Genomic DNA, 24,877 nt, shown 5'->3' on the forward strand with positions numbered 1-24,877 from the left:
TCCATCTCCTGAACTCATGGTCCTCCCACCTTGGCCTCCCAAAGTGCTGGGATTACAGGCGTGAGTCGCCGCGCCTGGCACACCCAGCTAATTTTTTTTTGTTTTGTACAGATGGAGTCTTACTTTGTTGCCCAGGCTGGTTTCGAACTCATGGGCTCAAGTGATCCTCATGCCTTGCCCTCCTAAAGTGCTGGGATTACAGGTGTGACCCACTGCGTCCAGCCTGCTGTAGTTTTGTCGGAGAGAAACGATGGTGGCTCAGACTAGAGTGGTGTTTGTGGAACTTGAGGGAAGTAGATGGACAATGCTGCTGTGAATGTGTATCTTTTTTTTTTTTTTTTTTTGAGACAGAGTCTCACTCTTGTCACCCAGGCTGGAGTGCAGTGGCGCGATCTCGGCTCACTGCAAGCTACACCTTCCGGGTTCACACCATTCTCCTGTCTCAGCCTCCCGAGTAGCTGGGACTACAGGCACCCGCCACCACTCCCGGCCAATTTTTTTTTTTTTTTTTTTGTATTTTTAGTAGAAACGGGGTTTTACCATGTTAGCCAGGATGATCTCAATCTCCTGACCTCGTGATCTGCCCGCCTTGGCCTCCCAAAGTGTTGGGATTATAGGCGTGAGGCACCGTGCCCTGCTGAATGTGTATCATTTTTGTGCCCACTTGGGTATTTCTTTTTTTTTTTTTTTTTTTGAGACGGAGTCTCGCTCTTTCGTCCAGGCTGAAGTGCAATGGTGCGGTCTCGGCTCACTGCAACCTCCGCCTCCCGGGTTCAAGCGATTCTCCTGCCTCAGCTTCCCGAGTAGCTGAGATTACAGGCGCCTGCCACCACTCCCGGCTAATTTTTTTTTTTTTTCTTTTTGAAACAGACCCTTGTTCTGTTGCCCAGGATGGAATGCAGTGGCGCCATCTCGGCTCACTGCAAACTCCACCTCCCGGGTTCACGCCATTCTCTTGCCTTAGCCTCCCGAGTAGCTGGGACTACAGGCGCCCGCCACCATGCCCAGCTAATTTTTTATATTTTTAGTAGAGATAGGGTTTCACCTTGTTAGCCAGGATGGTCTCGGTCTTCTGACCTCGTGATCTGCCTGTCTCGGCCTCCCAAAGTGCTGGGATTACAGGTGTGAGCCACCGTGCCCAGCCCACGCCCGGCTAATTTTTGTAATTTTAGTAGAGATGGGGTTTCACCATGTTGGCCAGGCTGGTCTCGAACTCCTGACTTCAGGTGATCTACCCACCTTGGCCTCCCAAAGTGATGGGATTTGTAAACCCAGCACTTTGAGGGAGGCAGAGGCAGGAAGATTGCTTGAGCCCAGGAGCTGGAGATGAGCCTGGGCAACATAGTGAGACCCTGTGTCTACAAAAAAAAAAAAAAACCCATAAATCAGCCAGGTGCAGTGGTGTGCACCTATAGTCCCAGGACTCAATAGGCCGAGGTGGCGGGATCACTTGAACCTGGGAGGTTGAGGCTGCAGCGAGCCCTGATCTTGCCACTGCCCTTCAATCTGGGTTCACAGAATGAGACCCTGTTTCAATAAAACAAAACGTAAACATGGTATTTGGTGTTGATGGCAGTTGAGTATTTAATTTAATTTAATTTAATTTTTTTTGAGACGGAGTCTGTCACCTGGGATGGAGTGCAGCGGCACAGTCTTGGCTCATTGAAACCTCTGCCTCTCAGGTTCAAGCGATTCTCCTGCCTCAGCCTCCCAAATAGCTAGGATTACAGGTGCCCGCCACCAACATGCCCAGCTAATTTTTTTTTTTTAAACAGAGTCTCGCTGTGTCACCCAGACTGGCATGATCTCCGCTTACTGCAACCTCCGCCTCCCAGGTTTGAGTGATTCTCCTGCCTCACTGTCCCGAGTAACTGGGACTACAGGCGCCTGCCACCACGCCTGGCTAATTTTTGTATTTTCTGTAGAGACACGGTTTTGCCATGTTAGCCAGGCTGGTCTCGAACCCCTGGACTCAAGTGATCTGCCCGCCTTGGCCTCCCAAAGTGCTGGGATTACAGGCGTGAGCCCCCACGCCTGGCCATAATTTTTTTTGTATTTTTAGTAGAGAGGGTGTTTCACCATGTTGGACAGGCTGGTCTCGAACTCCTGACCTCAGGTGATCCACCCATCTCAGCCTCCCAAAGTGCTGGGATTACAGGCATGAGTCACCGGGCCCGGCTGAATAATGAATTTTAAACAACTGCAGAGCAGTCTGTAGAGCTATGTAGGAATGTAGGTCGTGGAGAGCAGATTTATTGTCAGGGACTTTTTATATGTAGCTGTTGCTGGAAGAGTTCGGGGAGGGGGAGTGCTTGCTGGTATTGACTCAGCCATGATAAAAAAGCCTTTTTTTGAGGAAATGGCATTGGAGTTGGGTTTTGAAGGGGAAAGGCGTAGGTAGGCATTGAGAGGAAGAAATGGTGCATTTTGCGAGGGTGGAATGTTGTGATTAAATTTTATTTAATTTTTAATTAAATTAATAGCAAACTCTTACCAGCAGAACTTAAATTGTGTGAAAATTATTCTTAGTTATTACTAAATCCTTTTCAGTATGAATAATACATTTGCTGCAGAATTATTAATGAGTTTGGTTACATGATGCAGCCCAAGATCTTGATGAGTTGTTTCATAATACATGATGTAAAGTCTGTATTTCCTTTTTGAAATCTGAAAAAATTGTGACTCTGAAATACTTCTGGTTCAAGAGATTTCAGATAAGATATAGTTGACCTATTCTGCTTCCTACTGACCTCAGAGAAGTCTTGGGATGGCCTGACCTCTGATTGCCTTTTTTCAGCCTCATCTTCTGTCACTTTACAGATTTAAAAAGCTAAAAACAAGGCTGGGCACGGTGGCTCATGCCTGTAATCCCAGCACTTTGGGAGGCTGAGGCAGGTGGATCACTTGAGGTCAGGGGTTCGAGACCAGCCTGAACAACATGGTGAAACTCCGTCTGTACCAAAAATACAAAAACTAGCCAGGCGTGACAGTAGGCGCCTGTAATCCCAGCTACTCGGGAGGCTGAGGCAGGAGAATTGCTTGGACCTGGGAGGCGGAGGTTGTAGTGAGCTGAGATCACGCCACTGCACTCCAGCCTGGGCAACAGAGCGAGACTCTGTCTTTAAAAAAAAAAAAAAAAAGGTAAAAGCAATTCCTGTGTACATGCTCTTTTCATGCCACCATGTGTTTTGCTTGTGTGTTATACTTAACTAGTGCCTCTTCTCAGCACCTCTTCTGCTGTCATGCTAGTTTGAGCCACCATCATCCTCCCTCACCTTAACTGTGACATCTTCCTACCCCCATGGCTTTCCATCATGCCTCGAAGAAAATCCAGAATCCTTCCATTGCATGTAAGAGCCTTCATGATGTGGCCCCTTGTTCCAACTTTTCAGCCTCTCTGTCATTCCTGTCCCTAGAACATGCCAAGCACTCCTGCTTCAGGGCTTTTGCATTTGCTGTTTTCTCTATCTGGAATGTTCTGCTGCCAAATATCTGTGTGTTTGTCCTTTATTTCATTTTGATTTTTGCTCATATGGCATCTCCTCAGAAAGGCTTGTATGATTTCTGTCTCAAATAGCGTTCTCCATCATTCTTGATTCTTGTCACACTTGATTTTCATCACTTTTTCACATATTATGTATCTATTTGTTTATCTGTCTCCTACTTTTTCATGAGGGCAGGGACTATGTCTGATTCACCGCCTTATTTCCACACCATAGAAGGATGCCTGGCATAGTTGGTACTCAATAAATATTTGTTGAATGAATTGTTTTGTGCAGTATGGATTAGAGCCTGTCTCTTTCCTAGATTCGAGGTGTGATGCCTCAATGCAGTTAGAACCAAAATGATTTTTTTTTTTTTGAGACGGAGTCTCACTCTTGTTGCCCAAGTTGAAGTGCAGTGGCATGATCTCGGCTCACTGCAACCTCCGCCTCATGGTTTCAAGTGATTCTCCTGCCTCAGCCTCCCAAGTAGCTGAGATTACAGGCGCCTGCCACTACGCCCAGCTAGTTTTTGTATTTTAGTAGAGACGGGGTTTCACCGTGTTGGTCAGGCTGGTCTCGAACTCCTGACCTCAAGTGATCCGCCTATCTCAGCCTCCTAAAGTGCTGGGATTACAGGCATGAGCCACCGTGCCTGGCAAACCAAAATGATTTGTGTATTTTTTGTTCTTCTGTGATTCTGCAAGCTCACTGTTCTGTATCATCAGGTTAACAATGTTTGTCTTACAGGCTGCGGGCCTCTCGGGTGCTTCTTGTCGGCTTGAAAGGACTTGGGGCTGAAATTGCCAAGAATCTCATCTTGGCAGGAGTGAAAGGACTGACCATGCTGGATCACGAACAGGTGCGCTGTTGTGAGCTCATTCCTCCCCTGCTCTGGCTCCCCTTTCCAGCATGAAGATCTGCAGATTTTGTGAGTTCCTCCTTGTGCCTTAAGGGCTGTGAAAGGAGGGCTAACATTAATAAACCATTGCCTCTGGAGACTGAAGGTGCTATTGTTGGGTTTGAATTCTAGCTCCACCACATCTAGCTGGATGAGCAGTAGAGACTCACACCCCCTCATTGAGCTTGCCTGCCTGTAAAATGGGGTTAGTAATATCTCCCTTGGTGGTTGCTTGTGAGGAGGTGTAGAGAAGTGTTTTTCCAATTTGTGCCTAAAAATGACCTGAGTGACTAACTGAAAATGCAGAGTGGCCTGGAGGCTTCGTGGTGCCCTAGCTTTCACCCCTAGTGATTCTCATTTAGGTCTGAGGCGAGCTCAGGAGTATGTGCATTTAAAAGGTGTTTTAGGGCTGGACGCAGTGGCTCATGCCTGTAATCCCAACACTTTGGAAGGCTGAGGCAGGCGGATCATCTGAGGTCAGGAGTTTGAGACTAGCCTGGCCAACATGGCAAAACTCTGTCTGTACTCAGTATACAAAAATTAGCCAGGCATGTTGGTGTGCACCTGTAATCCCAGCTACTCGGGAGGCTGAGGCACAAGAATCGCTTGAATCTGGGAGGTGGAGTTTGCAGTGAGCTGAGATGGCACCACTGCACTCCAGCCTGGGCAACAGAGTGAGACTTTGCCTTAAAAAGAAATAAATTAATGAAAGGTGTTTCAGGAGATTATGATTTAGATGGTCCACAGACATCACTTTAAAAAACACTGGATCAGGCCAGGCACAGTGGCTCATGCCTGTAATCCCAGCACTTTGGGAGGCTGAGGCGGGCAGATCATGAGGTCAGGAGATCGAGACCATCCTGGCTAGCACGGTGAAACCCCATCACTACTAAAGACACAAAAAATTAGCAGGGCTTGGTGGCGGGCGCCTGTGGTCCCAGCTACTCGGGAGGCTGAGGCAAGAGAATGGCGTGAACCTGGGAGGCGGAGCTTGCAACGAGCCGAGATCATGCCACTGCACTCCAGCCTTGGCAACAGAGTGAGACTCCGTTTCAACAACAACAACAACAAAAACAAACAAAAACAAACAACACTGGATCAGAGAGAATGTGGGCAGACTGCTTTGTATAGTGCTTGAACCTAACAAGTATCCAGTAATTAGGAATAATGATCTGACATGCTGTTTGTTTGTTTGTGTGTTTTTGCGAGACGAGTCTTGCTGTGATGCCCAGACTGGAGTGCAATGGCGCAATCTCCGCACACTGCAACCTCCGCTTCCCGGGCTCAAGTGATTCTCCTGCCTCAGCCTCTGAAGTAGCTGGGATTACAGGCACGCACCACCACGCCTGGCTAAGTTTTGTTTTGTTTTTTTTTTGAGACGGAGTTTAGCTCTTGTTGCCCAGGCTGGAGTGCAATGGCGTGATCTTGGCTCACTGCAACCTCTGCCTCCCAGGTTCAAGCAATTCTCCTGCCTCAATCTCCCGAGTAGCTGGGATTACAGGCATGCAACACCATGCCTGGCTAATTTAACGTTTTTAGTAGAGACCGGGTTTCTCCATGTTGGTCAAGCTGGTCTTGAACTCCGACCTCAGGTGATCCTCCCACCTCGGCCTCCCAAAGTGCTGGGATTGCAGGCGTGAGCCACCGCACCCGGCCATGCCTGGCTAAGTTTTGTTATTTTTAGTAGAGATGGGGTTTCACCATATTGGCCAGGTTGGTCTCGAACTCCTGACCTCAGGTGATCCGCTGGCCTCGGCCTCCCAAAGTGCGGTGATTACAGGTGTGAGCTACCATCCCCTGCTGACATAATGCTGTTTGATTAATATTATAATGGTAGAGCCCAACTCCAATGTAGCTTTCTCTGACCAGGCTCATCTTCAAGGTGAAAATAAGTGCTGCTCTCTCTACATTCCCATGCCTCAGTGACATTTTATTTATTTTATTTATTTATTTTGAGACAAAGACTTACTCTGTCGCCCAGGCTGGAGTACAGTGACACAACCTCAGCTCACTGCAACCTCTGCCTCCCGGGTTCAAGCACTTCTCCTGCCTCAGCTTCCCTAGTAGCTGGGATTACATAATTACTTCATCTGGTTGTAAGAATCCAACATTGGAGGCCAATCACAGAACAGTGCGATTCTGACACCACAGGTGTGAGGCCACTGCACCCATCTTAGAGCGTATTATGTAGTTTACATTCAACAAGCATCTGAGAGCACCTACTGGGTGCCCTGAAGTCTGCTAGGTGCTGGTGATAGAAAGATGCTCACGGTTTGGTTCCCATTCTCAAGGTTTTTTTTTTTTTTTTTTTCCGGAAACCATAGCAGGCTCCCTGACTGAGGTTGTGGTACATGAAAGATTTCCTGGAGTCCTGATCTGAGCTAAGTCTTAAAGAACAAGGAGGGTTGTCAAGATAAGAGCCTGTGTTTTAGGCAGGGGACATAGCAGTGTCACAAAGGCACCCTACAGTGTGGTAGAAATGGAAGCTAAAAGTAGTTTGGTGTTTTTAGAGTGTGAGACCCAAAGTGGTGGGTAGGGACAGGTTGCTGGTGAAGTCCAAGTCAGGAGGGGCTCCTAGGAAGCCCCACTGTAAGCTTTTACTTAATCCTCTGGGTGGTGCAGACTCACTGAAGAGTTTCAAATGACAGGAAGGGTGACATGGTTAGCTTTGGGCTTTATGTGTAGATCAGTAATTACTGTATAAACTATGGTTGGCACAAAATACAGGGCAGAAGACCACTTAGAAGGCAGTTTTTAGTAGTTTAGGTGAGAGGTGAAAGTGGCCTTGCTGATAGGGATGGCAGGAAGCACACAGATGTGAGAAATAGATTTAGGTGGTAGAATTGGGAGGTCTGTGTATGGGAGCTTAAGGAAAGCCAGGAATAACCAGAGCAGCTGACACTGAAGGGGCTAGGCACTGTTCTCAGAGCTGCAGTTGTATTATCTCATTGAGTCCTCACAACACATCTGAGATCAAGGACCCATTACCATCCCTGTTTTACAGATGGGAAAACTGAGTAAAAGGAAGAAAAGTACTGGCCCATCCAAGGCCCCAGTAGTTAGTGGTACGGCCGGGACCCAGGCATCTGACTCCAGAGCCCATGTTCTCAGCCACCTCACTATGGACCACTCTCATGGAAATAGCAAGGATATGAAGATGAGGCTTCTGGCTTGAGTGACTGGGTGGGTGGCTGGTGGACTCCGGAGACAGCACACAGAAGCAGGCAGACATGTAGGGTTTATGGATATCTGAGAGAAAACGGCTGGTGGGCAGTACAGTAGAGAAGACTCAGGTGGATCAGGAAGAAATCTGCACCAGAAAGAGTGATTTGAAAAATAACAGCAGATTTTGGTAGAAACTGAAAGAGGCATTGAGTTGGTTTATGGAGCTATACAGAGTGGAAAGATAAGTAATTCTGAGATGGAAGCTTGGGGACAGCCACACCTAAGAGGGCCCAAATTGAGACTAGAATGTGTAGCACGAGAGGAGAGCAAAGCAAGGAAGGTGTGATCTGTGGACTGATAGTGATGAAATGATAATTGTATGTGTATGGGTTTTTTTTTTTTTTTTTTTTTTTTTTTTGAGGCAGTCTCACTGTTACCCTTGCCGGAATGCAGTGGGCATGATCATGGCTCACTGTAGCCTTAACTTCCTGGGCTCAGGGTATTCTCCCACTTAAGCCTCCCAGTAGTTGGGACTACAGGTGCACGCCACCACACCTGGCTAATTTTTTGTATTTTTTGTAGAGACTGGGTTTCATGATTGTTGCTCAGGCTGGTCTTGAACTTTCTGGGCTCAATTATATGTTTTTTTTGTTTGTTTTTTTGAGATGGAGTCTCACTTGTCGCCCAGGCCGGAGTGCAGTGGTGAGATCTTGGCTCACTGCAACCTCCGCCTCCTGGGTTCAAGTGATTCTCCTGTCTCAGCCTCCCAAGTAGCTAGGATTACAGGCGTGTGCCACCACACCCGGCTAATTTTTGTATTTTTAGTAGAGATGGGGTTTCACCATGTTGGCTAGGCTGGTCTCGAACTTCTGACCTCAAGTGATCCACCCACCTCAGCCTCCCAAGCTGCTGGGTTTACAGGTGTGAGCCACCGTGCCCAGCCTCAACTGTATTTTTTTTTTTTTTTGAGACAGAGTCTCGCTCTGTTGCCCAGGCTGGAGTGCAGTGGCGCGATCTTGGCTCACTGCAAGCTCTGCCTCCCGGGTTCACACCATTCTCCTGCCTCAGCCTCCCTAGTAGCTGGGACTACAGGCGCCCACCACCACGCCTGGCTAATTTTTTTGTATTTTTTAGTAGAGATGGGGTTTCACCGTATTAGCCAGGATGGTCTCGATCTCCTGACCTCGTGATCTGCCTGCCTTGGCCTCCCAAAGTGCTGGGATTACAGGCGTGAGCCACCACGCGTGGCCCTCAACTGTACGTTTTTATCCATGTCCTCGTTTTATATGGGATTCCCACATTCTTGCTGAGGTTCACACAGTTGTTGAGCCAGGATTTGAATCAAAGATTGAATCCAGCCTGAATTATTTCAGAGCCTTACTGTTAACCATTGTGTGGTACAGCTTCTCAGCACATAATGAGATCCCTGAAGAAGCAGGATGGAATGGGTCAAGGATACAGGGTTAGCCTAGAATGGGAAGTGGGCCAGCTCATTTTCTTGGAGGAGAAGGTAGTAAGATAGAGAGTGTGCTGTGGATGGTTGGTAGGAGGTGTTGAGGGGAGATTACTTCTGTTGTACCTAGTCTTGGTGAAGGTGGCAAGGTTATTTGCAGAGATTAATGGTTAAATTAGATGTTTGATGTGTGAAGAAATACTTTGAGAGCAGTATGGAATCTGTAATCTTACTGGTGGCTATTAGGGGATTATATTATCCTGTCTTTGAGGCTCTGCTCTGCTGATGTTCAGCCTTAGGGGTGAAATAATTCCTCTGTTCCAGTCCCCACTCATCTCTCCACCTCTCTGAGTTCTTTTTTTTTTTTTTTGAGACAGAGTCTCACTCTGTTGCCCAGGCTGGAGTGCAGTGGCACGACCTGGGCTCAATGCAGCGTCTGCCTCCCAGGTTCAAGCGATTCTCCTGCCTCAGCCTCCCGAGTAGCTGGAATTACAGGCGTGTGCCACCACGTCCGGCTAATTTTGTATTTTTAGTAGAGATGGGGTTTCACCATGTTGGTCAGGCTGGTTTTGAACTCTGGACCTCAGGTGATCTGCCTGCCTCGGCCTCCCAAAGTGCTGGGATTACAAGCGTGAGCCACCGCACCTGGCCATAGTCTATCTATGTTTTTTAAAAGTTCATTTCAAGCATTCTTAATTGTGTCTGATTTTTGCACAAGTTTGATTTTTTTTTTAAGTTTTCTCATGAGGTTGCAATTTTTGTTGTTTTTTGAGAGAGGGCCTCTCTGTGTTGTCCAGGCTAGTCTTGAGCTCCTGGCCTCAAGCAGTGATCCTCCTGCTTTGGCGTCCCAAATTGCTGGGATTACAGATGTGAGCTACTGTGCCAGGCTGCACTGGTCTACTTTTTTTTTTTTTTTTTTTTTTTTTGAGACGGAGTCTTGCTCTGTTGCCCAGGCTGGAGTACAGTGGTGCAATCGCAGCTCACTGCAACCTCCGCCTCCCCTGTTGAAGTGATTCTCCTGCCTCAGCCTCCTGGGTAGCTGGGATTACAGGCACACACCACCACACCTGGCTTATTTTTGTATTTTTAGTAGAGATGGCATTTCACCATGTTGGCCAGGTTGGTCTCAAACTCCTGACCTCAGGTGATCCTCCTGCCTCGGCCTCCCAAAGTGCTGGGATTACAGGTGTGAGCCACCGTGCCCTGCCCACACTGGTCTAGTTTTAAACCACTGGAAGACAGAGATTTAATCCTTTAAACTACTTGTGTATTTCCCCAAATGCTTATAGTTGGGCACATGCTAAGTATTTAGTCAATTCTTGCCACTGTTAATCAGTCATTTGTTAGCAGTTACAAATTTGCATAGAAGAAGAAAGCATGGATTTTTTTGTTGACAGTGAATTTTCTTTATAAACACAAGGGGGTGCTCTTTAACCATCAATGACCAGTTTAAAAAAAGTTTAAAGTCATTTTAAAGCCTTAGAAGGAAGCCTGCATAAGGCAAATTGCTACAGGAACAGTAATACATTTTAGGGCTGTGCACAGTGTTTCATGCCTGTAATCTCAGCACTTTGGGAGGCTGAGGCAGGCGGATCACGAGGTCAAGAGATTGAGACCATCCTGGCAAACGTGGTGAAACCCTGTCTCTACTAAAAATACAAAAATTAGCTGTTGTGGTGGTGCGTGCTTGTAGTCCCAGCTACTTGGGAGGCTGAGGCAGGAGGAGAATCATTTGAACCCAGGAGGCGGAGGTTGCAATGAGCCGAGATCATGCCACTGCACTCCAGCCTGGTGACAGAGCAAGACTGTCTCAAAAAAAAAAAAAAAAAAAAATTTAGGTGGTAGGTATTTTAGCTATCCTTTAAAATTTAAAGATTCTTTTTAAGATTTATTTTCCCTAAAAATACAAGACTTAAAAAAATATGTGTATTATTCCTAGGTAACTCCAGAAGATCCCGGAGCTCAGTTCTTGATTCGTACTGGGTCTGTTGGCCGAAATAGGGCTGAAGCCTCTTTGGAGCGAGCTCAGAATCTCAACCCCATGGTGGATGTGAAGGTGGACACTGAGGATATAGAGAAGAAACCAGAGTCATTTTTCACTCAATTCGATGCTGTAAGTTTCTTATTATAAAATCTGCTGTGGGAATTAAACAAATTAAGGTGCTAGTTGTATATACTTTCAAATCCCAAAGCAATCTGAGAGCATTCAAATATCAAATTCTGAGCTTTTTCCCAAGAAAATGTATAAGCTGTTCTATTGTTTAGGCTTAGTATATTGTGTGAATGTGTTGCTAGAGAGGTCCAGTCTGTTGCATCTGCTGTAGTTGTTGGTGACTTGCTGTCTGCTGGCTTCTTCTCTGGGCATATGTTCCCTCAGCCAGGTTTCGTCTTTGGTGTTTTGTCTTCCTTCCAGAATCTTTGCACATAACTTTAATCCATGTTATTGCAAATGTTTTCTTCCGAAAACTTAACAAGTTGGTGATTAATTTCTGTGGCAGCGGCATTTTTTTGTTAGAAATATCAAACTACAGCTTGTGTTTTGTCTTAAGAAAAGCACACCTGATCTTGATCTATGTCTGTCTGTCTGTTTCTCACAGTCACATTGACCATGTTGCCATGGATAACTAGAGAAAAATCACTGTAGTCGTAAGTCAAATGAGGCATATCCAGCCTCATTTAGTTTCACTGCCAAATCTATGCGGAGGTGAAAGGATAAATTCTTTGTCAATATCTGCAACCTTTCAGACATAGTTCCCTGCATTCTGGAAAAGCTTAACAAATCTTGATAAATGTGAAATAGTCATAGATGAGCTACTAGTTTTTTAAATGAAAGGCCCCAGTATGTTACATGAGAGGTTAGAATTTGGGTTGGGTAGTTTTTTTTTTTTGCACCTTTTTTTATTTGAGATGGAGTTTTGCTCTTGTCGCCCAGGCTGGAGTGCAATTGTGCGATCTTGGCTCATGGCAACCTCTGCCTCCTGGGTTCAAGTGATTCTCCTGCCTCAGCCTCCCAAGTAGCTAGGATTACAGGCACTCACCACCATGCTGGGCTAATTTTTTGTATTTTTAGTAGAGATGGGGTTTCACCATGTTGGTCAGGCTGGTCTTGAACCCCTGACCTCAGGTAATCCACCTGCCTCGGCCTCCCAAAGTGGTGGGATTACAGGTGTGAGCCACTGCACCTGGCCTGTTTTTTACACTTTTCTTTCTTTCTTTCTTTCTTTTTTGAGATGGAGTCTCACTCTGTCGCCCAGGCTGGAGTGCAGTGGCATGATCTTGGCTCACTGCAACCTCCGCCTCCCTGGTTTAAGCAGTTTTCTGCCTCAGCCTCCCGTTTTTACACTTTTCTATTTCATATGTGCATCTGTTCAAATATGGGCTTGGAAGGATGGATCATCTGTGCATTTGTCCTGTTTTCTTTTTCCTAGTCCCTTCTATTTTTTAACTTGAGGTATTGGGACACTTTCCATTTGGACATAAGTCTTCATTTTCTTATCTGTAGTAACCACATTTATTTTATGCCAGGTGTCCCTTGAACTTGTAGAGTTAGAGGGTTTGTTAAAACTGAAGTGTGAGGCCAGTTGATTGTGTAATGCGTGTGCATGGGGCCATGTTGACCGCCTTGCAGGCCGTGTTTGGCTGGTCCTTGCAGGTTTTATAGTTACTTTAGACTCTGCAGGGTTCCATTTGATCAATTGGTTGCATGTTCACCTGTGGATTTCTTACTTTTTAGATGGGATTTTTCCTTGGGTGGCTGCATTCTTTGAAACACCAAAGGAACACATTTCTCTGTGAGTGTTATTTCGGTATTCAGGCTGCTAGACAACAGCAAAGAGGGTCTATCAAGTGAAAATGTCCTTTTGTTCAGGAGAAAGCATGTGCAATTTGGAAGTTGTCTTTTGACCATGATCACAAAGCTTCTCCCGAAAAGATGGTATTTTGTGCAGTAGAACTTAGCCATTTCCAATACCTCAACTTACTGGAATACAACCTGGAGGCCCCAGAGCAACACTGATAATTCCACTGAGTGGATCACCAGTTCATTGTCTAAGCCTGAATGGAAGGTCACTTGGTCTGTAACCTTTTCTTTTGTCCTTAAATTCAGATAAAGTTTCACACCGCAATCTGTGGAAAAATGATCTCAACAGGACTTGTTTATCTTCTTTATCTTAACATATCAATCAAAAGGAGGGGGGTAAAAAGCCCTTGTATTTAAACATGACCTTTGGGTCAATTTAAAAAACTGGTTTTGCTTGTCCCTGTAGCTTATTTGGATTTTAATAGATTTAGCAGTATAGAAACAACTTGCTAAGTTATTTTTTTTATGAGAACTATGAAATGTGTATATGTTCGTGGATTACAGAAAACATTTGTTGAATGGCTTTTACTTTTTAGCTAAACACATTTTATTTTGGCTGCAGAACGTGACGGTCTCATAACTTATATTTTCTACACATTGAAACCTGCAACTTTTCTTTTGTCTTCTAGCCATAGGGCCCAAAGAACCTGTTGTACCAGTTTGAAACATGCTTTGAGCATGCCCAGAGAGACTGTTCATTAAGATTTATTTAGACATCAGGGCAGTGATTCACAGTTTGCAAAACTCAAACCCAGCCAATTTCTTTCTTTCTGCAGGTGTGTCTGACTTGCTGCTCCAGGGATGTCATAGTTAAAGTTGACCAGATCTGTCACAAAAATAGCATCAAGTTCTTTACAGGAGATGTTTTTGGCTACCATGGATACACATTTGCCAATCTAGGAGAGCATGAGTTTGTAGAGTAAGTGTTGGGAGAGGAGGGGAGAACATAACATTTTCTCCTTTTTATACTTTTTTTTTTTAAATTATGTATTTATTTATGTGTAGAGACAGGATCTATGCTATGTTGTTCAAGCTGGTCTTGAACTCCTGGGCTCAAGTGATCCTCCCACCTTGGCCTCCCAAAGTGCTGGGATTATAGGCATGATCCACTGCGCCTGGTCTGCTGACATGTTTTCAAGTTGAGAGATAGTAAAATGATTACAAAATAGTTGGGCGATTCTGGAGGCATATTCAACCAAAGTCTACCTTGGAAAAGGTGTCCAATATCCAGAGAGACTCCTCTGGTAGAACAAACAGACCTCATCCTCTCATTTTGAACACTGAGGCTGCAGAACTTGGTAATTCTTACATGACAGGACTTGCCGTGTTTTGACTTTGTAGTCTCTAGGTGAAAGATGGCAGATGATACATTATTGTAAAACTATATGAGTTAGGTATTTTGGCTGCAGTTTCTGACCACCCCCTCCAAAACCCTCCAACTTGCTAATTGAGAGGGAAAGACAGGCTCTGTGAGATAGGAGCTTCCTACCAAGAGACTGAGAACTCTTCTCTTGTTCAGCCTCTCAGGCAAGTCACTGAAATTTCTCTGGTCTCCAAGTTTCTTGCCTGTAAAATCAAGATGGGGGAAGGACAGTCATGTTCCAGACATCTCCTAACTCTAGTGTTTTATGGCTTTAGGATAATCTAGTTCTTTGGGCATATTATTATTATTATTATTTTATTTTTTGAGACGGAGTTTTGCTGTTGTTGCCCAGGCTGGAGTGCAATGGCACCATCTCAGTTCAGAACAATCTCTGCCTCCTGGGTTCAAGCCATTCTCCTGCCTCAGCCTCCGGAGTAGCTGAGATTACAGGCATGCGTCACCATGCCTGGCTAATTTTGTATTTTTAGTAGAGACAGGGTTTTTCCATGTTGGTCAGGCTGGTCTTGAACTCCGGACCTCAGGTGATCCACCCACCTCGGCCTCCCAAAGTGCTGGGATTACACAGGCGTGAGCCACCGCACCCGGCTATTATTATTATTTTTGAGACGGAGTTTTGCTTTTGTCACCCAGGCTGGAGTGCCATGGCACGATCTTGGCTCACTGCAACCTCCACCTCCTGGATTCAAGTGGTTCTCCTGCTTCAGCTTCCTGAGTAGCTGGGACTGCAGGCACCCGCCACCATGCCCGGCAAATTTTTGTATTTTTAGCAGAGACGGGGTTTCACTATGTTGGCTATGCTGGTCTTGAACTCCTGACCTCAGGTGGTCCACCCACCTCAGCTTCACAAAGTACTAGGATTACAGCCACCATGCCTGGCTTCTTTGGGTATATTATAAAGAAGTTATAGTAGTGGGAAGCAATCCAGATTATTTTAACATAAGCTGCCCACAGCAGAGGGGCAGAATTAAGTTTGGCTTTTTTTTTTTTTTTTTTTTTTTTTTTTTTCTGAGACAGACTTTCACTCAGTTGCCCAGGCTGGAGTACAGTGGCGTGATCTCAGCTCATTGCAACCTCCTCCTCCTGGGGTCAACCAATTCTCCTGCCTCAGCCTCCCAAGTAGCTGGGATTACAGGCGCCCACCACCACGCCCGGCTAGTTTTTTGTATTTTTAGTAGAGACGGGGTTTTGCTATGTTGGCCAGGATGGTCTCAAACCCTTGACCTCAGGTGACACGCCCGCCTTGGCCTCCCACAGTGCTGGGATTACAGGCGTGAGCCACTGCACCCAGCCAAGTTTGGCTATTTATTTCATGATTCAAGTAGAGTGTTTACAAAGTAATCACTTTGATTTATTGAGAGCAGCTGTGTGCCCAGCAGTGTGCTGAGCAACTTACGCTGCTCTGTTTTTCCCACAATAATTTCCTGAGTGCCCAACAGTGTACCAGACTCATCATGTTATCAATGGCAGAGCTCGATTTGAACCGAGATCTGACTCCAAAGCTTTTGCCCTTAACCACCATCCCGATCTGTGACCTGGAGAGGCTTTTTTTGATTCCAATAACATGATTCCTAGGGTAAAATTACATTCTCTCCCCTTGTCACCCTCTAGGGAGAAAACTAAAGTTGCCAAAGTTAGCCAAGGAGTAGAAGATGGGCCCGACACCAAGAGAGCAAAACTTGATTCTTCTGAGACAACGATGGTCAAAAAGGTATGTGTAACGTGGGGGCAGAGGTCAGAAACCCTGGGGCCTTGGAGGGGTCAGGCAATGACGATTGAAAAGGATAAGAGCAAGCACTTCTTGAAGGGGTGGGGCGGGTGCTTGTCCCATCTAAAGGGAGGCTGCCACAGCTTAGTGTCAGCCAGCTGTTGCTGTGAGGGAATGTGGGCCCAGTGATTCCAGATGGGATTTTTCAAGACAATGAGAAATGCAAACTTTTGTAGGCTCTGTCCCAAACTTTTTTTTTTGTGTGTGTGAGATGGAATTTTTTCTTGTCGCTCAGGCTGGAGTGCAATGGCATGATCTCGGCTCACTACAGCCTCCACCTCCTGGGTTCAAGCAATTCTCCTGCCTCATCCTCCCAAGTAGCACCCCTGGCTAATTTTTTTTTGTATTTTTAGTAGAGACGGGGTTTCACCATGTTGGCCAGGCTGGTCTCGAACTCCTGACCTCAGGTGATCCACCCGCCTCAGCCTCCCAAAGTGCTGGGATTACAGGCGTGAGCCACCATGCCCGGCCCCATACCCTTTTTTTTTTTTTTTTTGAGATGGAGTCTTGCTGTGTCCAGGCTGGAGTGGCACAATCTCAGCTCACTGCAACCTCCACGTCCCAGGTTCAAGAGATTTTCCTGCCTCAGCCTCCCAAGTAGCTGGGACTACAGGTGTGTGCCACCACACCCAGCTAATTTTTGTATTTTTAGTAGAGACGGGGTTCCACCATGTTGGCCAGGATGGTATTTATCTCTTGACCTCGTGGTCCACCTGCCTCAGCCCCACAAAGTGCTGGGATTACAGGCATGAGCCACCATGCCCGACCAGAAAACTTTTTTTTTTAAAGCAGCAAAACACCAGCCCTGGGTTACAGTAGCAAGACCCCGTGTCTACAAAAAAAATGTAAAAATTTGTCTGGCGTGATGGTGAGCACCTGTAGGCCCAGCTACTCATAGGCTGAGCTGGGAGGATTGTTTGAGCCTGGGAGGTGGAGGCTGCAGTGAGCCATGGTCACACCACTGCACCCCAACCTGGGCCACCTAGCAAGATCCTGTCTAAAAAAAAAAAAAGCAAAACAAAAAATTTTTTGTATTTTCTCTACTAACAATACAAAAATTAGCTGGGCAAGGTGGTGCGTTGCTTGTAGTCCCAGCTACTTGGGAGGCTGAGGCAGGAGAATAGCTTGAACTGGGGAGGCGGATGTTGCAGTGAGCCGAGACGGCAACACTGCACTCCAGCCTGGCGACAGAACGAGACTCTGTCTCCAAAAAAAAAAGTTTTCTTTGCCTGTTTTTTTCCTTTTGCCAAATAACCTTTAATAAGAAAAATCCTTCAATGTTGTCTTGCTGTGTCCAGGCTGGAGTGGCACAATCTCAGCTCACTGCAACCTCCACGTCCCAGGTTCAAGAGATTTTCCTGCCTCAGCCTCCCAAGTAGCTGGGACTACAGGTGTGTGCCACCACACCCAGCTAATTTTTGTATTTTTAGTAGAGATGGGGTTCCACCATGTTGGCCAGGATGGTATGAATCCTCAGATTCATATTTGTTAATGTAGTTTATATTAGGGGCTCAGCCTCTATTTGGATTAGGTGCAATAATTACATTTATAGAAAGGAGTGGAGAAGGGATCAGAAGACGATGGTTTCTGTAGCTAGTGCTGGAATCTGAGATGGGAACCATGCGATGGGGAAAGCAAGATGAAGGGGCCAGAATTGGTTTCATTGAACTGAGAGGAAAGACATGACCAAGCCCATATTTACTCTTTGCTTTGTAGATTTAAATGTTGAGAAAGAAAAACAGCTGGTCAGAATGTTGAGTTAAATTACGCTAACGAGGGGATTCTAAAGAGTGCAGAAACCACAAAAGAGACTGCAGAAAACCACAAAAGTGGAACTCTCAGACTCTCCAGCAAGGCGGCGTTGGAGATTTTCTTTCTCATTTTGTGTTTGTGTTGGAGTAGTTTGGTGCTGTAAGTGTGATACAGAGGAATTAAGCCCTAATTTTAGTGTCTATTCACAGAACCATAATTATCCAGAGTGAACCTTGGTGTTTTGGCCAAAACTTGGGTGCCTTTCTTTCTTTTTGAGGCCCAGTCAAGATTTATCTGAATAGCTCCGTGAATTTGGTGGGGGGAGATAAATTGTTAACAAACGGAGGAGTACAAAAGCTGCTTTGTGGGTGCTGTCAGTTTATAAATCACACCCTCTTACAAGTGTGACACTTGGCCTTGGTGTGAAGGGTTTTATGGCTTAAGGGCCTTCTCTGATTGAGGCAGGTCTTTCACATTCAAATGGAGAGAGTGCCTAGCTTTGTTAGCCATTCACAGCTGGAAGTTTCCCTGGAGTCAGTTCTGATGGTGCCCACTGGGGTGGATCTGGAAACCTCTTTTGGGAACCACTTTATCTCGCTATGAGGAGAATGTGGGCAGCCCAGGCCTTTGCCCACCATTCCGGAGGGCCCTACAGGCACAGAGGTTTTTGTGCAGCCTCTTCCTACGTGGAGCTGAGCTGGAAGGTATCAAAATATTCCCCAGCTGACATTGTTAGTCAGCTGTTACACTTGAACAATGCAGGCTCGGATTCCAACCCCAAGCCCTTAAGGTTACGAGGCATTCAGTGCATTCCTGCTGACAATCCCTGGGATTCCAAACCTTGCCTTTGTGCAGCCTCACCAAGGGCCCTGCGGACCGACTGGGCTGGACTGGGTTTTGGCCATGGCTTTGTCACCTTGCAATAACATGCCTCCTTCCGTTTTGGCACAGATGGCCCTGTGATTTCAAGGTTCTCTTCCAACACCAAAGATTCCTTGATTCAGATGCTGCCCTTTTGCCTAATTGTACAGAATAACTAGTTGGGTTGTGCTCAGAGAGTGCAGGGTGGGGGTGGGGAAGCAGCTACTTCCTGTTTCCTGTGAAAGGTTTTCTGGTTAGGGTTCCCTTCCCCTCCCCGCTTTCCCTAGGTTTAACCAAAGGTTGTAAAGCCACTTTTGCTTCAAGGTACACTTTGTGCTCCTAAATTAGTAACGTTGAAAAACAAAAAGGAAAAACAGCCTGTGGTTTTCACACCCTCTAGGAAGCTGGTGGGCCTTTCTAGCACCTGTGCCATTCTGATAAATAAGGGCTTAGGAAAATGCCTAGCCCAGAAATAGGTGCTCAGTAGTTTGTTTGCTTCCTTTGGTGCTCAGGAGAAGATTTGAGACGGATTTCGTCACAATCAGGTCTCGGGCACAAGCCTCACATGGACACTGACATGCAGGAGCCAGAGGAGACAGCAATGAGGTGGTGGTAAGGAAGTGCCCAAAAAGGTTTCCCAGAGGAAGAGTTGTTTGTGTTGGCATGTGAGGGACAAGCTTTCCAGGCACCAGAGCCAAGAGCAGTGCTCTGTCCGAGGAAGTAGGATAAACCGAAAGACGGACGTAGGGGCAGAGTTGCTGTGGCTGCCCTCACTGCCGCAGCCAGCTCCTTCCATGAGTTGCAGAATGCCTACTGTGTGCAAGGCACTGTGTTGAGTGCAGGGAATCACATCCAGTCTTGTTGTCCCCATCTATAGCTGATAAAGAAGCTATGAGAAATTAAGTGACCTGACCAAGGCCACACAGCTGTGGAAGAAGGGGCGAGAGCATAGACAGTGGGTAAGGGCATAGGCTCACCCTATGATTTACAAAGAGGGATACCCCTGAAGTTGCTAGGGTAACGTGACATATTAGGAGGATGGTGGGATAAAATATGTGAACATCGGGATCATTCTGGAAAACCTTTAGGATAAAAGGCCACTGTCATGCTCCCATGTTCACGTTTCTTTATTGTGAGTTATCTGTGTTAGGTGCTGCCAGAGATGATGAGATGCCTGACAGTGGTTACTCTGTAATAGCTCTTTAAAAATTAAAGACAAAGTAGGGTTTGTTCCTGACTGTACTAGAAATACAGATTTAATTTTACCTCTGCTCCTGAAATAGGTGACTAATTTGGAGTACTATTAATACTCTTTTCATGAATTAGTTGAGAAATTCCACAGTTGAGGAGTGATTCATTCTTTTGACTCCCTCTTTCTGAGCAATTTGTTGACAGCCTTCTCATCCTCTCTTACACCCGTCATTAAAGAAACAGTCGAGTTCTTTTTCTTTCATGTGGTACCTTGGTTTCCACTGCTGGTGGCCCTTAGGTTGCTTGTCTCTGTCTCCCCGCTTCCATTTTAAGCTCCATAGGGGGAAGGTAGTCTTGTTCACTGCTAGACTCCTAGTCCAGTGTGTAGCACAGTCATATCCACGGAATATTTGTTCAGTGTACTGGTGGCTGTTAACTGCAGCATAATCCAGCAACCCTGGAGATTATTTTCTTCCTTTTTTTTTTTTTTTCTTTGAAGCAGGGTCTGACTACTCTGTCACCTAGGCTGAAGTGCAGTGGTTCAAACACTGCTCACTGCAGCCTCCCAAGTAGCTGGAATTACAGACATCCACTACACCTGGCTAATTTTTAATTTTTAAAAATTATTATTATTTCTGAGATGGAGTCTTGCTGTGTCACCCAGGCTGGAGTGCAGTGGCACAATCTCAGCTCACTGCAGCCTCTGCCTCCTGGGTTCAAGCAATTCTCCTGCCTCAGCTTCCGGAGTAGCTGGAACTGCCAGTGTGTGCCACCACACTCGACTGGTTTTTGTATTTTTAGTAGAGACGGTATTTCTCCATATTGGCCAGGCTGGTCTCGAACTCCTGGCCTCAAGTGATCCGCCCACTTTGGCCTCCCAAAGTACTGGGATTATAGGCGTGAGCCACAGCTTCCAGCCTGATTGTTTCCATTTTAAAAAAGAGTAATTGAAGTAACCTTTGTTACCAATGAAATGAATTAACCTTCTAGTATATTAATTCTCACGGTTTAGGTTATTTGAACTAAGCTGAGAGAACAGAATACCAAAGAAGACAATAGACTTGCCCAGAAATATTTAGAAGTAAGTCACTCAGTTGCCTGGATTGGAACCCTCAGGCCAGAGAGGTTCAAAATCCTGCATTTTTTTTTTTTTTTTTTTTTTTTTGAGACAGAGTCTCACTCTATCACCCAAGCTGGAGTGCAATGGTGCGATCTCGGCTCACTGCAACCTCCGCCTCCCGGGTTTAAGCGATTCTCCTGCGTTAGCCTTCCGAGTAGCTGGAACTACAGGTGCGCGCCACCACGCCCAGCTAATTTTTTTTTTTTTTTTTTTTTTTTGAGATGGACTCTCGCTCTGTCGCCCAGGCTGGAGTGCAGTGGTGCGATCTCAGCTCACTGCAAGCTCCACCTCCTGGGTTCATGCCGTTCTCCTGCCTCAGCCTCCCGAGTAGCTGGGACTACAGATGCCCGCCGCCATGCCCGACTAATTTTTTTGTATTTCTAGTAGAGATGGGGTTTCACCGTGTTAGCCAGGATGGTCTCGATCTCCTGACCTCGTGATCCGCCCACCTCGGCCTCCCAAAGTGCTGGGATTACAGGCGTGAGCCACCGTGCCCAGCCTAATTTTTGTATTTTTAGTAGAAACGGGGTTTCACCATGTTGACCAGGATGGTCTCAATCTCCTGACCTTGTGATCCACCCGCCTCAGCCTCCCAAAGTGCTGGGATTACAGGCGTGAGCCACCACTCCTGGCCAATCCTGCTAATTATTAATATCAGAACTACTTGGTTCAAAGGAGTGGAAATAGGGCAACGAGGGGTGTAAATTTGCAGTTAGGTGGAATGCTGATAGCAAGTTTTCCAGGTAGGAGAGTTAGTTGGGGTGGGGGATGCTAATGTTAGCTTATCTCTGTATATATATTTAATTTTATATGTTATTTATTTTTGAGATGGGATGTAACTCTGTAGCCCAGGCTGGAGTGCAGTGGCACAAACACAGCTCACTGCAGCCTTGAACTCCTGGGCTAAAGGGATCCTCCCACCCACCTCAGTCTCCAAGGTAGCTGGGACCACAGGCATGTGCCACCATGCTCTGCTAATTTTTTCGGGTTTTTTTTTTTTTTTGAGATCTCTTGCTGTGTTGCCCAGGCTGATCTCAAACTCCTGGCCTCAAGTGATCCTCTTGCCTTGGCCTCTCAAAGTGCTGAGATTATAGGCATGAGCCACCGTACCCAGCCTATATTTTTTTTATTGTGACATTTAATGCACAAAAGAAGATATGCAGCATCAATGCAGATAATGGAACAAAACAAACACTATCCGCCTTAAAAACACAAATATTTTTGGTACTTTTGTACCAATCTGTATGCTGTTTCTCTATCTTCTACTTCTTCTCCCTGTACCCTCACCAGGTAAGTAACCCCAGAGCTGCTGGTACATTTGTGTGGATTAAAAAAGACACCTGGAAGGGGCAGATACAGCCCTGCTTGACTTCCTGTTTTATCACGTGTTTATAAATCTAAACAATGACATGGAACTTATTATACAATATTTTAGGCATAAATTAAGAATGATTTCGCTCACCATCATAGACCTACCACTCAATTTGAAGCATCAAACATTACTGGTATGGTGAGGCCCTCTGGCTGTCCCTCCAACAGAAGTTACCACCCTCCTCAGTTGGGTTTCTCATTCCTATGCATTTCTTCTTACTACTTATGTATGTATTTCCAAGCAACACATAGAATTGCTTTGCATGCTTTTTATCTTCTTAAAAATTGGTTTTATATTGTATGCATGGTGCCACCTGCTTTTAAGGAGAAGCAACACGTTTGTGAGGCCATCTGTTTATATGTTGTTCTAGGGCTTTGCTGTCCATTTTGGTAGCCACTAGCCACAGCTGGCTGTTTAAATTAATTAAAATCAAATCAAATCAAATATTTAGTTCCTCAGTCTCACTGGTCACATTTCAAGTGGCCAGTAAGCACATGTGGCCATTGGCATCTGTATTGCATAGCACAGATTACATTCTGTTCCATCATCACAGCTAGTTCTCTTGGACAGCCCTGCAGGGCATTTCTTTTTGGTTTTTGTTTTGTTTTTATTTTTGTTTTTTGCTAGAGTCTTTGTTGTGTAAATACATTACTATTTTATATCCATTTTTCTATTTATAAGCATTTGGGTATGCTCATAATTTGCTGTTACAAATTGTGCTGCATAAGCATTTTGTTTGTGTGTGTATAGATGATCTCCTTGGGCAATTGTGTTAATTTCTCTTGGGTATATACCTGGGAGTAAAATTAAGATAAGGGCATTTTCAGCTTTACCAGACCCCGTTAAGTTACTCTCAAGTGGTTTTATCAATTTATATTCTAGAACCAACATTATGTATCAGTAACATTTGGTAACTTCAGGCGTTTTTTTTCCATTCTGCTGAGTGTGAAAAATGTGTTTTGATTATGGTTGTCATTTGTTAGAATACTTTGTTAAAGCTTTTTAAAGATTCTTGGTCCCTCTACCCTCCCCACCCCCTACCCCAGGAATTTTGATTGGGTAGGACCTGGGGATTATATTCATCTTTATATGCAGAATTATATTACTTGTTACTGTTAGGCCTGATTTAAGAAGTAAAATAAGGCTGGGTGCAGTGGCTCATGCCTGTAATCCCAGCACTTTGGGAAGCCAAAGTGGGCACATCACTTGAGCCCAGGAGTTTGAGACCAGCCTGGGCAATGTGGCTAAAACCCCTTCTCTACCAAAAATACAAAAATTAGCTGGGCGTGGTAGCACGTGCCAGTGGTCTCAGCTACTGGGGAAGCTGAGGCGGGAGGATTGCCTGAGCCTGGCAAGTGTAGGCAGCAGTGAGCTGAGATTGTGCCACTGTAGTACATCCTGGGTGACAGAGCAACACACTGTCTCAAAAAAAAATTTTTTTTTAAGTAAAATAAGTTCATAATTCCAAATGTGGAAAATGCAGAACAAGTTAATGAAATGTTAATCCTACTACCAAATGATAACTATAACCTTCCTTTCAGTATTTTTCTATGTATATACAACAAAATTGGGGCACTGTTTAATACAGATAATATATATAGTTAGCTCTCCTTATTAATGGGCTTCACATTCATGGATTCAACCAACTGTGGATCAAAAATCTTTAGTGTGCTTGGAGTACATCCAAAAAAAAAAAAAGAAAATTGAAATTATGTTAATAATAAAATATTTGGGAAAAAACATTGCGTCTATCTGTACCAAACATGTACAGACTTTTTTTCTTGTCATTATTCCCTAAGCAATACAATATAACAACTGTTTACATAGCAATTCCATTAGGTATTATAAGTAATCTAGAGATGATTTAAAGTATATGGGAGGCCAGGCGCAGTGCCTCACGCCTGAAATCCCAGCACTTTGGGAGGCCAAGGCGGGTGGATCACTTGAGGTCAGGAGTTGGAGACCAGCCTGGCCAACATGGTGAAACCCCATCTCTAACAGAAATACAAAATTAGCTGGGCATGGTGGCTCACACCTGTAATCCCAGCTACTCAGGAGGCTGAGGCAGGAGAATCACTTGAACTTGGGAGGCAGAGGTTGCAGTGAGCCAAGATCGCACCGTTGCACTCCAGCCTGGGCGACAGAGCAAGACTCTATCTCAAAAATAAATAAATAAATAAAGTATATGGGAGGATGCACGTAGAGTATATGCAAGTACTGTGCCATTTATTTATTTAGAGACAGAGTCTTGCTTTATTGCCCAGGCTGGAGCGCAGTGGCGTGATCTCCGTCTCCCAGGTTCAAGTGATCCTCTGGCCTCAGCCTCCCGAGTAGCTGGGATTACAGGCTTGTGCTACCACACCCGGCTAAGTTTTGTATTTTAAGTAGAGGGCGTTTTCACCTTGTTCGCCAGGCTGGTCTCGAACTCCTGACCTCAGGTGATCCGCCCACATCGGCCTCCCAAAGTTTTGGGATTACAGGCGTGAGCCATTGCACCTGGCTTGTATATGTGTATATATATGTACATGGTTTTGTCTTTTGCTTTTTTCACTCAATAAGCATTCCCCAAATC

At 45.4% G+C, this 24,877-nt stretch overlaps 1 protein-coding gene and 1 long non-coding RNA gene across 5 annotated transcripts in view, besides 3 other annotated features; both read left to right on the top strand.

Moving 5' to 3' along the window:
- Window positions 1–24,877, top strand: part of SAE1 (SUMO1 activating enzyme subunit 1) — a 79,802-nt gene that overhangs the window by 8,427 nt on the left and 46,498 nt on the right. For all 4 annotated transcript variants that reach the window (NR_027280.2, NM_005500.3, NM_001145714.2 and 1 more), the window contains exons 2-5: window positions 4,233–4,344; window positions 10,941–11,114; window positions 13,637–13,779; window positions 15,853–15,952. Coding sequence is in view for 3 of the 4 variants with exons in the window: in NM_005500.3 (NP_005491.1) it covers window positions 4,233–4,344; window positions 10,941–11,114; window positions 13,637–13,779; window positions 15,853–15,952 (529 nt within the window). In the remaining variant the exon portion in view is untranslated. The remainder of the gene's footprint in view (window positions 1–4,232; window positions 4,345–10,940; window positions 11,115–13,636; window positions 13,780–15,852; window positions 15,953–24,877) is intronic.
- On the top strand, window positions 17,409–24,047 carry LOC124904730 (uncharacterized). The gene is made up of 2 exons (XR_007067277.1): window positions 17,409–17,920; window positions 19,135–24,047. It is a non-coding gene; the product is annotated as an uncharacterized LOC124904730 (long non-coding RNA).
- Window positions 17,779–18,322: an enhancer, noted in NCBI's record as "OCT4-NANOG-H3K27ac hESC enhancer chr19:47660297-47660840 (GRCh37/hg19 assembly coordinates)". NCBI's record gives its function as "activates a minimal SCP1, AML or CMV promoter by ChIP-STARR-seq in naive and primed H9 embryonic stem cells {active_cell/tissue: H9 hESC(naive and primed)}" and the evidence as "EXISTENCE:reporter gene assay evidence [ECO:0000049][PMID:30033119]".
- Window positions 18,323–18,864: an enhancer, noted in NCBI's record as "OCT4-NANOG-H3K27ac-H3K4me1 hESC enhancer chr19:47660841-47661382 (GRCh37/hg19 assembly coordinates)". NCBI's record gives its function as "activates a minimal SCP1, AML or CMV promoter by ChIP-STARR-seq in naive and primed H9 embryonic stem cells {active_cell/tissue: H9 hESC(naive and primed)}" and the evidence as "EXISTENCE:reporter gene assay evidence [ECO:0000049][PMID:30033119]".
- Window positions 18,865–19,407: an enhancer, noted in NCBI's record as "H3K27ac-H3K4me1 hESC enhancer chr19:47661383-47661925 (GRCh37/hg19 assembly coordinates)". NCBI's record gives its function as "activates a minimal SCP1, AML or CMV promoter by ChIP-STARR-seq in naive and primed H9 embryonic stem cells {active_cell/tissue: H9 hESC(naive and primed)}" and the evidence as "EXISTENCE:reporter gene assay evidence [ECO:0000049][PMID:30033119]".

This window comes from Homo sapiens, chromosome 19, assembly GCF_000001405.40.
Source record: "Homo sapiens chromosome 19, GRCh38.p14 Primary Assembly".
In the NCBI taxonomy this organism is placed as follows: Eukaryota; Metazoa; Chordata; class Mammalia; order Primates; family Hominidae; genus Homo; species Homo sapiens.